General features: G+C 35.4%; 1 protein-coding gene and 1 non-coding gene across 6 annotated transcripts in view; one reads left to right on the plus strand and one right to left on the minus strand.

Moving 5' to 3' along the window:
- Positions 1-12232, plus strand: part of KCNH8 (potassium voltage-gated channel subfamily H member 8) — a 387133-nt gene that overhangs the window by 158507 nt on the left and 216394 nt on the right. The gene's annotated exons all lie outside the window — the stretch shown is intronic.
- On the minus strand, positions 7832-7915 carry MIR4791 (microRNA 4791). The gene has a single exon (NR_039954.1). It is a non-coding gene; the product is annotated as a microRNA 4791 (primary transcript).

The following is a 12232-nucleotide window of genomic DNA, read 5'->3' on the forward strand; positions in this document are numbered from 1 at the left end:
AGAGACACATAGACCAAAAGAACAGAATAGAGAATCCAGAAACGAATCCACATATCTACAGCCAACTGATTTTTGACAAAAGTGCCTAGAATACTCACTGAGGAGTTCCTTCAATAAAGGATGCTACTCATATAACAGGGGATTAATGTATAGAATATGCTGGAAACTCAAACATCTCAACAGCAAAACAAAAGAAAAAAAAAGCAATCCAATTTATAAATGGGCAAATGATTTCAACAGACATTTTTCAAAAGAAAACAAACCAATGGCCAAAAATATATATATGAAAAATGCTCAGCATCACTAATCATCAGGGAAATGCAAATCAAAACCACAATGAGATATCATTTTACCCCAGTTAGGATGGCTATTATCAAAAAAAGCAAAGCTGTGGAGAAAAGGGAACTCTTATACACTGTTGAGGGGAATGTAAACTAGTACAGCCACTACAAAGGACAGTACGGAAGTTCTTCAAAAATCTGCAAAAAGAACTACCTTATAATCCAGCAATCCCACTCCTGGGAATTTATCCAAAGATAAGGAAATCATTATATCAAAGAGACATCTGCACCCCTGTGTTTATTGCCGTAGTATTCATATGGATTCAGTAGGCAACCTATGGAATCAACTTAGGTGTCTAAAAACAGATGCATGAATGAAGAAAACGTGGTACATATACATAATGGAATACTATTCAGCCATTACAAAGAAAGAAATCCCGTCATTCATGGCAACGTGGTTGGAACTGAAAGACATTATGTTAAGTGAAATAAGCCAGAAATATAAACAGTATGTGTTCTCACTCATATATGGAAGCTAAAAAAAGTTGATCTGACAAAAGTAAAAAGTAGAACAGAATATACTAGATGTTGGTAAGGGTAGGTGAAAGGGAGGAACAGGAAGAGATTTGCTAAAGAATACAAAATTTTAACTGGATAGGAGGAATAAGTTCTAGTGTTCTGTACCACTGTAGGGTGACTATAGTTAACAATAGTATATTTTGTAGTTTTAAATAGCTAGAAAGACGACATTGAATGTTCCTAACACAGAAAAATGATAAATGTGTAAGATGATGATTATGCTACTCTGATCTGATTGCTATATGTTATATGTATTGAAACAGCACTAGGTACTCTATGAATATGTACAATTATTGTCAATTTCAATAAACTAAATTTTAAAGAATTGCTACTTATATATTAGAAGGTCTAGCTGCTAAAGTTTATAAATTTTCTATGACATAAAACAGGGAACAGGGAATTTTTCCCTCATTAAAAAAAAAAAAGGTGATGATTAGAATTCATATGGCCTACTATCAGTAGACCTCAAACTAATCTGTGCATAGTACCTTTAAATTGACAGCTTCTACCTAACCTAAGCCCTGAGTAGTTATATTTCCTGACTGAAGCCTAATCAGTTACCTTGGGAAGAAGGATATTTCAAGGTTTGTCCATTCAAAAAAATAAAACTTTTGATGATTCCCCACAATCTTCCATATAATATTTGAGTGAAATCCAGAATGTCACACTAAATTCAATTCCACCCCAGCAGAAGTGTTCAAATACTAAAAGTTACCAAATTTTTTTTTAAATTCCAACAAGCCCACACATGAAAAGACCCTGTGAATGTTGGGGTCTCTCTCTCTCTCTCTCTCTCTCTCTCTCTCTCTCTCTCTCTCTCTCTCTCTCTCTCTCTCTCTCTCCCCCTCTCTCCCTCTCTCCCTCTCTCCCTCTCTCCCTCTCTCCCTCTCTCCCTCCCTCTCTCTCTCTCCCTCTCTCTCTCTCCCTTTCTCCCTCTCTCTCTCTCTCTCCCCTCCTCCTTCTCCCTCTTTCTCAGAGCAAATTTTATTTTCATTACCATGAAAACTGTGGATTAAATTTAATCTGTTTTTAAGGGAGCAGCAGGCCACACTGTCTTAATGTAAATTCCAGTGATGCTAACACACACCAATTAGTAAGGAGAACAACAGCTTCAGGCCTGGAAATAACACCAAATCACAACTCTGTAGTGCTCAAGTGGAATCAGAATGTGACAATAAGATTAAAACTTTATACCAGCCAAGTGCTTATTTTCTGGTATTTTTCTTTTTGTAGATTTAGCATGCTTGGTTGACTTTTGATTATTATTAACTTAAGTGGTTTTCCTTTTCAATCCACTGGTGTCCTGTTTTCTTTACCAGAGACCCCAACAGCAAGTGCTGCCATTGTCTAAGAGAGACTGGGGTTTCCCTGTAGCTAAAAGAAGAGAGGGATGTTCCCTCAAAATGCTAGTTAACTTCCATTTTATGCAAGTTACCAAGGGATGGAGAAGAACTGCCTGAATATCAAACTTGACTCTGGAAAAATTATTTGGAGGTTTTATGGTGTTTCATAAAGTCAGAAAGCACATCTTCATAGGCATACTATTTAAAAGGTTAAAATTTAGCTGAAGTGTTATGCATAGATTCATTGTTGCACTCATTCATTCAGCAGTCACCAAACATCTAGACACAGAAAGGTGAAAAAGGAAAATTGTTACCTTTACATAAACCACTGTCAATTGGAGAGTGATAGTGTCTGATAACTAACATATATTATTCTATATAGTAAGATAGAGCTGCGAAAAAAGTGTTTCAAGAAAGTGATGATTATTTCTGAGTGGTAATGGAGGAGGATGAGGGAAATGAAGGAAAGAATTTTCAAAGGAATTGATAGTTTCAGAAGGAAAACATTTAGATAGATACAGCCACAGCAAAACATGAACCAAAAATCCCATTCTTGCAACCATCAGCCATGTCCTTTTTGAAACCACTTAACGTAATAGTTGAATCAGAAACTATGTGAAAATCTGTCATCCAAATAGAGATGCAACAGGACAATTTGCTTTGGCACAGGGCTCAATTCATTGGTGGGTCAAGTGTCTCACCTCTCCCATCATCTCTGTGTTTCTTGGGCCTTGCTTGTTGCTAGATAATCAGGTTTTTGGATCTTGTACATGCAGGAAGCTCCTGGGAGGAAAAGAAATAGGAACTCTGCATCCCAAAAATATTAAAACATTTATGAGGCAGGGCTATGCCTTTGCATTCTTGCTCCTAGCATTGTACCTGAATATAGTAGTTACGTCTATTTAAAAGGGGAGAAGAAAACAAAACATGTTTTTGAATGTGTGAATATGTGAACAATCAGCATACTGATTACCATGGTATTTGAGATGGAAGAATTTTCCTTTTATTTTTTATCCAAGTAAAATTTCAGTGTTGCCTTACATAAGTGACTAATAGAAAACTTTTTCATTGTATTCATTAGATCTTTTTGAAGATTTTTTTACTACTTGTTAAAGAATAATGCCTTATTTAATATATAGCAACTTACAAAAATATTTACCCAATGTGGTGCAGAATTCTTACCCTTTAGCAAATGTTGCTGAATCCTATCCAGGGACAGATATAACATATCATGAAATGTCAATATATAGGATGTGATTTTCTTTTTGTGTTATTTATGGATTTTCATAACTTGAGAATCATAACATTATTGTTTTTATGAAGTCTCTGAGGAAAGACTGTGAGAAAGAAGTTAGCAGATCTGGAGGAGGTGAGAGCTATCAGTAAGGTAAGAGGCTTTTAAAATGAGAATAATAATCCTTAGATTAACATTCTTGTTGGCAAGATAGCTATTCTTGAGTTCAAAGGGGTGAGTGTTACAATCTATTTCTTAACAGAGTAATTTTATGAATATATCGTAAAATCGTATAATGGTGCCTACAAAGCTATTTTTAGTGAATGAATTAAATAAAACAGGAGATTATAACTATTCATAATAAAAGATGATAAACATAAGGTGAAAAAATACAATTTCTAATAATACTTCAGGATCACAGCCTGGGAGAATTATCCATGCACAGTATTTTTGAAAAAAGGATAGCACTTGTAACCCTGTTACATTTTTCCTCTTCACTCCATCAGATTGATTGCTCTACTGTGACTTTTGCTCTTTCATACTGCTACACTTCAGCATAGAGTGTTCCTAGCAACCAGAAGGTCACCTCCTTTCCCGTCTGCTTATCACAGTTACCCATTCTTCACCATTTAGTGCAGGTCCACAGATTGCCCTACCCAAACTCCCTTTATAAGTTCTTTCTCTGATTTTTTACAGTCCTTATATTTGCCTCTCATGTCTAATAATAATAATAATAATGACAACTAACATTGATTGAGTAGTTACCATGAGTCAGGCACTATTCTAAGTACTTTATGGTTTTTACCACATTTAATTGTCACAAAATACCTTGAAATAGGTATTCTTATTAACACCATTTTTAAAGATGAATAAACTGAAACCAAAAGAGGTTAAGTAATTTGCCCTAGTGGCTAGCAAGTGTTGGAGTGACAACTTGAACCTGTACAGCCCGGTTGCAGAGCTATTAACTACTATAGCCATTTACTCTGCAGCTTTGCCTTTTATTTGACTTTTTTGCAATATATATTAAATAATAATTAAATATATATTTAATTATTTTTACTGTGTGTATGTCATAGACATTTTTTGCCTCTTGGCTGTCTTGTATTAATTTGTCCTACACCCAGAAACATATCTGAGAGGGAGGGATCCACTATTTCCTCACGCTCAGTCTGTAGTTTTGGTGGAGGGCAGTTTATCCCTCACAGACTCCAGGAGTGTTATTTGATACAGACCAGGCCAAACAGAGCTGTACACTCCTCTGACATAGAAACTGGTTCAAGGTTAGACACACAACCCCATCAGAGCCAAAGAGACATTATGAGATGCGGACATACATACTGTTGACTACATTTGAAACTGAGATGATGCACATCCTTGGAGCCTTTCTGAGAACTGAGTTAACACAGAGTCTTGACCAAAATTCCTGTTTTCTCTTTTTCAAACAGTTTGGAATTTTCTAGATTTTCTGTCAATTGTTGTATAAAGTATCCTAATTGATATAAGGCTGACAGATTCTCTCAGATTAAATGGTAAAATTTTAGACATACGGATTGCCTTTCTCAAACTCTTTCTTCCGCAGTGTTTTGCACTTATATATTATGTAATATTGATTGAATCCATTTTGAAAATCTGTGGAATTAATATATTAACCCAAAATTCATGCCAAGTATACTGCAGCTTACATACAGACTTTAGTTTAACTTTGTTGTGAATTTGATTTAAACTTCATTCGAAATTATAATTCTAAAAATGCAAATGTGTATGGGCCAATCAATGGCATAAGAAGGAACTAAGTTACTTTTATCTTTACCCCTTCTATTTTTCCTTATTATTTCTTTCTTCATTTCAGAACATGAGGAAAACAAGGTTATGTGATCAGTTTGCTATAAAACTTTCCATGCTGTGAAATAGTATACTATAGTGAAAGGGACACCAACTTGGAAATGGGAAACTTGGCAAGCCGTATAAGCTTGGGTAGTCCTTTAATACTCTCTCAGTCTTGGGCTTGAGTTTCCTCGTACATACTCGGAATATATTGGATTATATTACTTCTTGGCATTTAAAAGAATGGGAACTCTGACTACCTGAATGTTTCTGAACCATCAGTCACTTCTCAGAAATTCTTAGCTCTTCAGTGGCCAATCACAGCTTCTCGTCATGTAATATTAGTAAATATTATTCTAAATAAAATCTAGATTAAGAGAGTATGATCTTGATCTATATGGCTCTTGTTAGTATTATGATGGATAAAATATTTTTCCTAGGTCTTATACAAAATTAAAATTTGCTTAAAGAGCTTGCTCCACTGCTTTTACGGATCATAACTTTGAAACTGTGGAAATCACTGGGTTAGATGTTCTACAAGATTTCTTCCAGCACCACCATCTTGTGAAAAGACACAGGTCATTTCCTGGAATAAATTTGAGAGTACCTTGTGTAGTCAAGATGGGCCCATTTAAAAGGATGACTTCGTGTTGTTCTGGATACCTATGATTTCAGAATTGGATAAGTTCTAGTGTCCAGGATTTTCTGAAGATACTAGTTTTCTCCATAACTGCTATTGGCTGCTTTGGCTTTCACGGGATGTCTTGGCCTGTGAGTTGCTCTAGAATTCCAAAAATATGAGTGGTTGCATTGAATGGGGAACACAAAGGTAATTCAGGCTTCCAACTGTGGGTTGTGCTAAGGAGTTTGGTCTTTATTCTTTATTATGTGGTGTGTGAGTCCTGACAAGGCAGGCACTCAAAAGGGGGCTTAGGATTATTTATGGTTGTCTGAGGACAGCATTTCTCTATTTCATCATTTTATTTGGGACAAGTCAGCTTGCTAGCTCTGCAGTATAGTAAAAAAAAATCCCAGGAGTTACAGTTTCAAGTCCTGTCTCTCCCACTAGTTAGCACTGTGATCTTAGGCCAGGCATTTTTGCCTCCCTAACTGCAATTTTTCCAGCTACAGTATAAAATAATTGGAATATAACATTTCTAAGGCTTATTTTACTGTAAGGATCTAAAATTCTATAATCACACTATATGACACAAAAGCATGACCACACAGAACCATACTTACAGATTGGGAACTATGACCCTGTTTTCCAAATCTCCCATCTGAACTCACCAGAGCCAGTGAACATTCAGTGTGTTTGTCACATGCAGTATTACCAGCCAGAAAACACTCTTGTTCTAGCCTAAGTTCTTGAAATTGAAGTATACATTCTTTTTTCTGATACTCCCTCAGATTCATTTGGAAAAAAAAAAAAAACAACTCAATAACTGTAAATGAAGAAACACTTTCTAAGAAGTGTCATGCATAAGATTATAGATGATCATACAAAGTACCATGGGTCCCTGGTTACCTTAAGGTCCTATTCAGGAGAAAGATAAAAGTAGATGTTAGTATTCTTGGTGAATTAAGTGGGAATTTGCATTTCAATGCCAGTCCTTAAATGGTTTGATTTTCATAAACCCTATATATTATAGAGTGTTTGATGTTACATAATGGTGAAATGAATAGAAATGAGAAATATTTGAACTTCGAATGTACTTGCAAACGTTCTCCCCCCACCCCTTTAAACTACCTACATATAAAAACCTAGAATCAATTATGTGAAGTTTAATTTCTGAAAGTTTCAATAAAGCTGGGTCATCATACTTTCTCCTCCAAAAATTTGGTTCTCAAATAGGAATATATTTAGAAAAATTGTTTATTTATATTTTCTTTTTTGTTTGTTCTATAATTTAAGTTTAGAAAATAGCAAACTTTTTATGTAAAAGATATGATAGTAAATATTGTGGGCTTTATGGACCATATAAAGTCTATTGATACTACAGTACTTGGCCAGGCACAAAGAAGCCCAGCACTGTAATCTCAGCACTTTGGGAGGCCAAGTAGGGATGATAGCTTGGGCCCAGGAGATTGAAAGCATGGACAGCATAGACAGACACTGATTCTACAAAAAATTAAACAATTAGACTGGCATGGTGGTGAGCACCTATAGTCTTAGCTCCTCAGGAGGCTAAGGCAGTAGGATCACTTGAGCCCAGAACGTTGATGCTACAATGAGCCATGGTCATGACATTGCAGTCTGGCCTGTGCTACAGAACAAAACCCTGTCTCTAAACAAACAAACAAACAAACAAACAACAAACAAAAAACCCCACAGTACTTAACTCACCCGCTGCAGCAGGACAGCTGCCATAGACAATCTATAAACAAATGCATGTGGCTATGTTCTGTACAACTTTATTTGCTGAAACAGGTGGCCCATTGGTGAGCAAAAGCTGACAGATACTTGATCTAGGCAATTAATAAGTGATTTCTCCTTCAATCCTCTCCCAATCCCAGATCATTCCATATTGAAAATAGCATTGGACTGAATAGCTGGATAGCTTTTCTAATTACTGGACATTGACTGCACATAATCCCATTGAAATTCTCATTGATATGGAGCTTATTTCAGTCATCATATCCAGTTCTTAAATTGTATTAGCTATGAGTTAATAAGACTGTTGTTGTGGTATTGCTTTATATCTGGTGTAATACTTTAATATCAGGTCACAGGAACTTCTGTACCATTAAATGAAGATCAGGTTAGGATTCTGATCAATTGGACCATATTTCTGGTCTGGAGGGGAAAGAGGTAAGAAAAGAGCTCCTCCATTCTCATCACAAAAGTGATCATGTTCTAGAATCATAACAAACATGGCCCAGGATTGTGCAGACTTGAAACTGGGGAGTGAAGTGTCAGTGCCAGAACTGGTAAAGAAAATGAAGGTTCTATTTCTGATCCAAGAGGTAGGATCACAGGGCATCCAAGTCTATGCAGGTGGTCCAAGGATACCCTACAGTCAAAAAGACAAAGTATTAGGAGCCCAAGAAGCTGGGGGACACAACTAAGGTAATGAGAAAGGAAAAGTTGCCTGCACTCTCTGTGATAGCTCTACAAATGCTGATCAGCTTTTGCCTTATCCAAGAATTTATTTCAATGAACTGAGGGACTTTTTTTGCTGGCTGTTGTTTCATAAAACTTAAAGGCACCTAGGTACTTCCTGCTACCCAACACATAGTAGATAGAGGTAGAGCCATAAATATTGACCTTCAGACATCATTTGTAGATCAGATATCCTTTGTAGATCTATTTAGATGACCTTAAAAATGTGTTAATAGTCTATTAGTAGTTGGCTACTATGTTGGCCCATCTGGAATGCTTAAGTATTCCTCAAAATAGTTCTTTTGTGCACTTAAAATACATCACCTGACCTAAATGAACTATCAAAGTTAGTTCAACCAGGGCATTTTTATCTTAGATATTACTGAGATTATTATCGATTCATAATTTGGATGCAAGTGGTTGAGGCACTATAATTTTTCTTTTAAGGAAAAAAATCAGGAGAATATTTTATAGTTGGCCACACGTATATAAGAATTGCTTCAAAAAATTCTCTAAAGATGTTAGAAACTTAGATCACTATTTGGTGACTTGACAAACATGACTGGAGAAAGATGAATCAATTGAAAGTTAACTGTCCTTAAATTGAATTATGTCTGATTGTTACTCCATTTATTGTGTGTGACCTAAAGATTTAAAAGAAATTAAGTCATGTATTAATTTCAAGTCATTTCATTATTTTGGAAAAAAATAAAATTATTGATTGCATAATTTTTTGGTTGAATTTTATGGAAAGGTTTTTAAGTTCGTGTAAAATTGGTATTCAGTAGGTTTTCTTAACATTGGCACTATTGACATTTTGAGTTGGATAGTTATTTGTTGTGGGGGACTGTCTTGTGCATTGTAGGATTTTTAGCAGCATCCCTGTTCTCCACCCACTAAATGCCAGTAATACCCACACACAAGTTTAAACAACCAAAACTATCTCCAGACATTGTCAGATATCCCCTTAGTGGTAAAATCTCCCCTGGTTGAGATACACTGGTATACAACAACCAGGCCATAACTCTATAACATACAAGATTAAGGAATAGAAGCAGGATCTTATTAATAATACAAGTCTTTAAAAATTGAATTTTGGTGTTGAAATGAATTTATTTGTGTTATTTAGTATTTTTGAGTGGTGCATTATTACTCAAGACTTTCTAAGGAAACCTAACATTTAGAAATAAAGCAATCCTCCAAAAAGGGCTATCTCTCTGCTCCTCCAGCTCTTACATATCATGTTGTCAATATCATGCTAAGGTTGTAATAGGAAGATTGTATTATTGATTCTGCTCTTCAACCAGAGATTGCATGCAGAGCAGCAATGGTGGAGTTACTTCTGAGAATAGAAAATGAATTGGACCTTATCTTGGGAACCCTATGAATTAGCTGAGTTACCTCCAAGTCTCTCAACACACTTTTTGTCTGGATAAATCAGATTGCCTACTTTTCCTTAAGGTCAAGAAATATGATGTATTTATCTCTGTCTTTCCAGCTCCATTTCTGGCACAGGATAAATAGATGCTTTGAAATTGGATGAATAGGCGGAATCTATTCATTGATCTTACAGACAGAGTCAGCATGTTTTCATCTTCTGTTCTTCTTTTTTCCTCCTGTAGTCCTGTATTCATTCCTGACTACTTCTTGGTGGCTTGATTTATTCATAGATAATCTGTTCTATTCTTTCACACTCAAGATATGGCCAAGATTTTGTTGCTTTAACTTCTATAAGCAAAAGGGGGTCCCAGAACCAAAAAGTACTAAGGAGTTTTAATGTAAGACATTGGAGAATACTAGTGGGAAAATACTGTATTATTTCAGTACCTACCATCACTGTAACAAAATTGTTACTGCTACAAATTATTAAGGCTGACAACGTTTTTAAATTAATTTTCACACTAGAATTCTTATAAACTTGCTTTTCATCTTAATTATTTTTAATGTGTTTTATAACTCCAAAACATGGACCAATTTTATATAGAACTTAATTACTTTTCAAAATCAGTTACCAATACTTTTCTTTCAGACCTGCATGATAAAGACAAAGAGAAAATGCTTTAGAACTGGGCAGAACTAGGTGTTCATTGTCATGTGTACTCTTGTAAACATTAATTTGGACATGCTATTTAAACCTACTGAACTTCAATGTTATTATCTTTAAAATGGGCCAGTGTCTACCTCAGAGTATAACTATAAGAATAGAGAAAAATAAATTAAATATGATCCAAGAAAGCAGTTGCATTAAGTAGGTAGTTGTAAGTCAATCATAATCATAATAAATGACATATGCAAATCAATAAATATGATTCATCACATAAACAGAACTAAAGACAAAAAGCACATAATTATCTCAATAGATGCAGGAAAGGCTTAAGATAAAGTTCAACATCCTTTCATGTTAAAAACTCTCAATAAACTAGGTATTGGAGGAACATACCTCAAAATAATAAGAGCCATATATGACAAACCCACAATCAATGTCATACTAAATGGGCAAAAGCTGAACACATTCCCCTTGAAAACTGGCACAAGACAAGGATGCCCTCTCTCACCAATCCTGTTCAACACAGTATTAGAAGTTCTGATGACGGCAATCAGGCAAGAAAGAGAAATAAAGCGTATTCAAATAGGAATAGAGGAAGTCAAACTATCTCTGTTTGCAGATGACATGATCCTGTATCTGGAAATTTCCATCATATCAACCCCCAAGCTTCTTAAGCTGATAAGCAACTTCAGCAAAATCTGAGGATACAAAACAAATGTGCAAAAGTTGCTAGCATTCCTGTACACCAACAACAGACAAGCAGAGAGCCAAATCACAAGCTGTATTAGTCCATTTTCACATTGCTATAAAGAAATACCTGAGACTGGGCAATTGATTTATTTTATTTTATTTTATTTATTTCAATAGGTTTTGGAGAAACAAGTGGTGTTTGGTTACATAAATAAGTTCTTTAGTTGTGATTTCTGAGATTTTGATGCACCTGTCACCAGAGTAGTATACACTGTACCCAATGTGTAATCTTTTATCCTTCACCCCCACACCCTGTCCCTCAAGTCCCCAAAGTCTATTGTATCATTCTTATGCCTTTGCATCCTCATAGCTTAGCTTCCACTTATGAGTAAAAACATACAATTATTAGTTTTCCATTCCTGAGTTACTTCACTAAGAATAATGGTCTCCAATTCCATCCAGGTTGCTGCAAATGCCATTATTTTGTTCCTTTTTATGGCTGAGTAGTATTACATGGTAAGTGTGTGTGTGTGTGTGTGTGTACACACACACACACACACACACACATATACGGTAGATCTACTTTTATTTCTTTAAGGAGTCTCCACACTGTTTTCCATAGTGGTTGTACTAGTTTACATTCTCACCAACAGTGTAAAGGTGTTCCCTTTTCACCTCATCTATGCCAACGTCTATTACTTTATGATTTTTTTATTATGGCTATTCTTGCAGGAGTGAGGTGGTGTCGCATTGTGGTTTTGACTTGCATTTCCCTGATACATAGTAATGTTGAGCATTTTTCCATATGCATGTTGGCCATTTGTATATCTTCTTTTGAGACTTTTCTATTCATGCCCTTAGCTCACTTTTTGATGGGATTATTTGTTTATTTATTTATTTATTTTGCTGATTTATTTGATTTCTTGGTAGATTCTGGATATTAGTACTTTGTCAGATGTATAGATTGTGAAGATTTTCTCCCACTGTGTGGGTTGTCTGTTAACTCTGCTGTTTATTTCTTTTGCTCTGCAGAAGCTTTTTAGTTTCATTAAGTCCCATCTATTTATCTTTGTTTTTGTTGCATTTGCTTTTGGGTTCTTGGTCATGAAGTCTTTGCCTAAGCCAATG

This window comes from Homo sapiens, chromosome 3 (assembly GCF_000001405.40).
Source record: "Homo sapiens chromosome 3, GRCh38.p14 Primary Assembly".
NCBI classification, from domain to species: domain Eukaryota; kingdom Metazoa; phylum Chordata; class Mammalia; order Primates; family Hominidae; genus Homo; species Homo sapiens.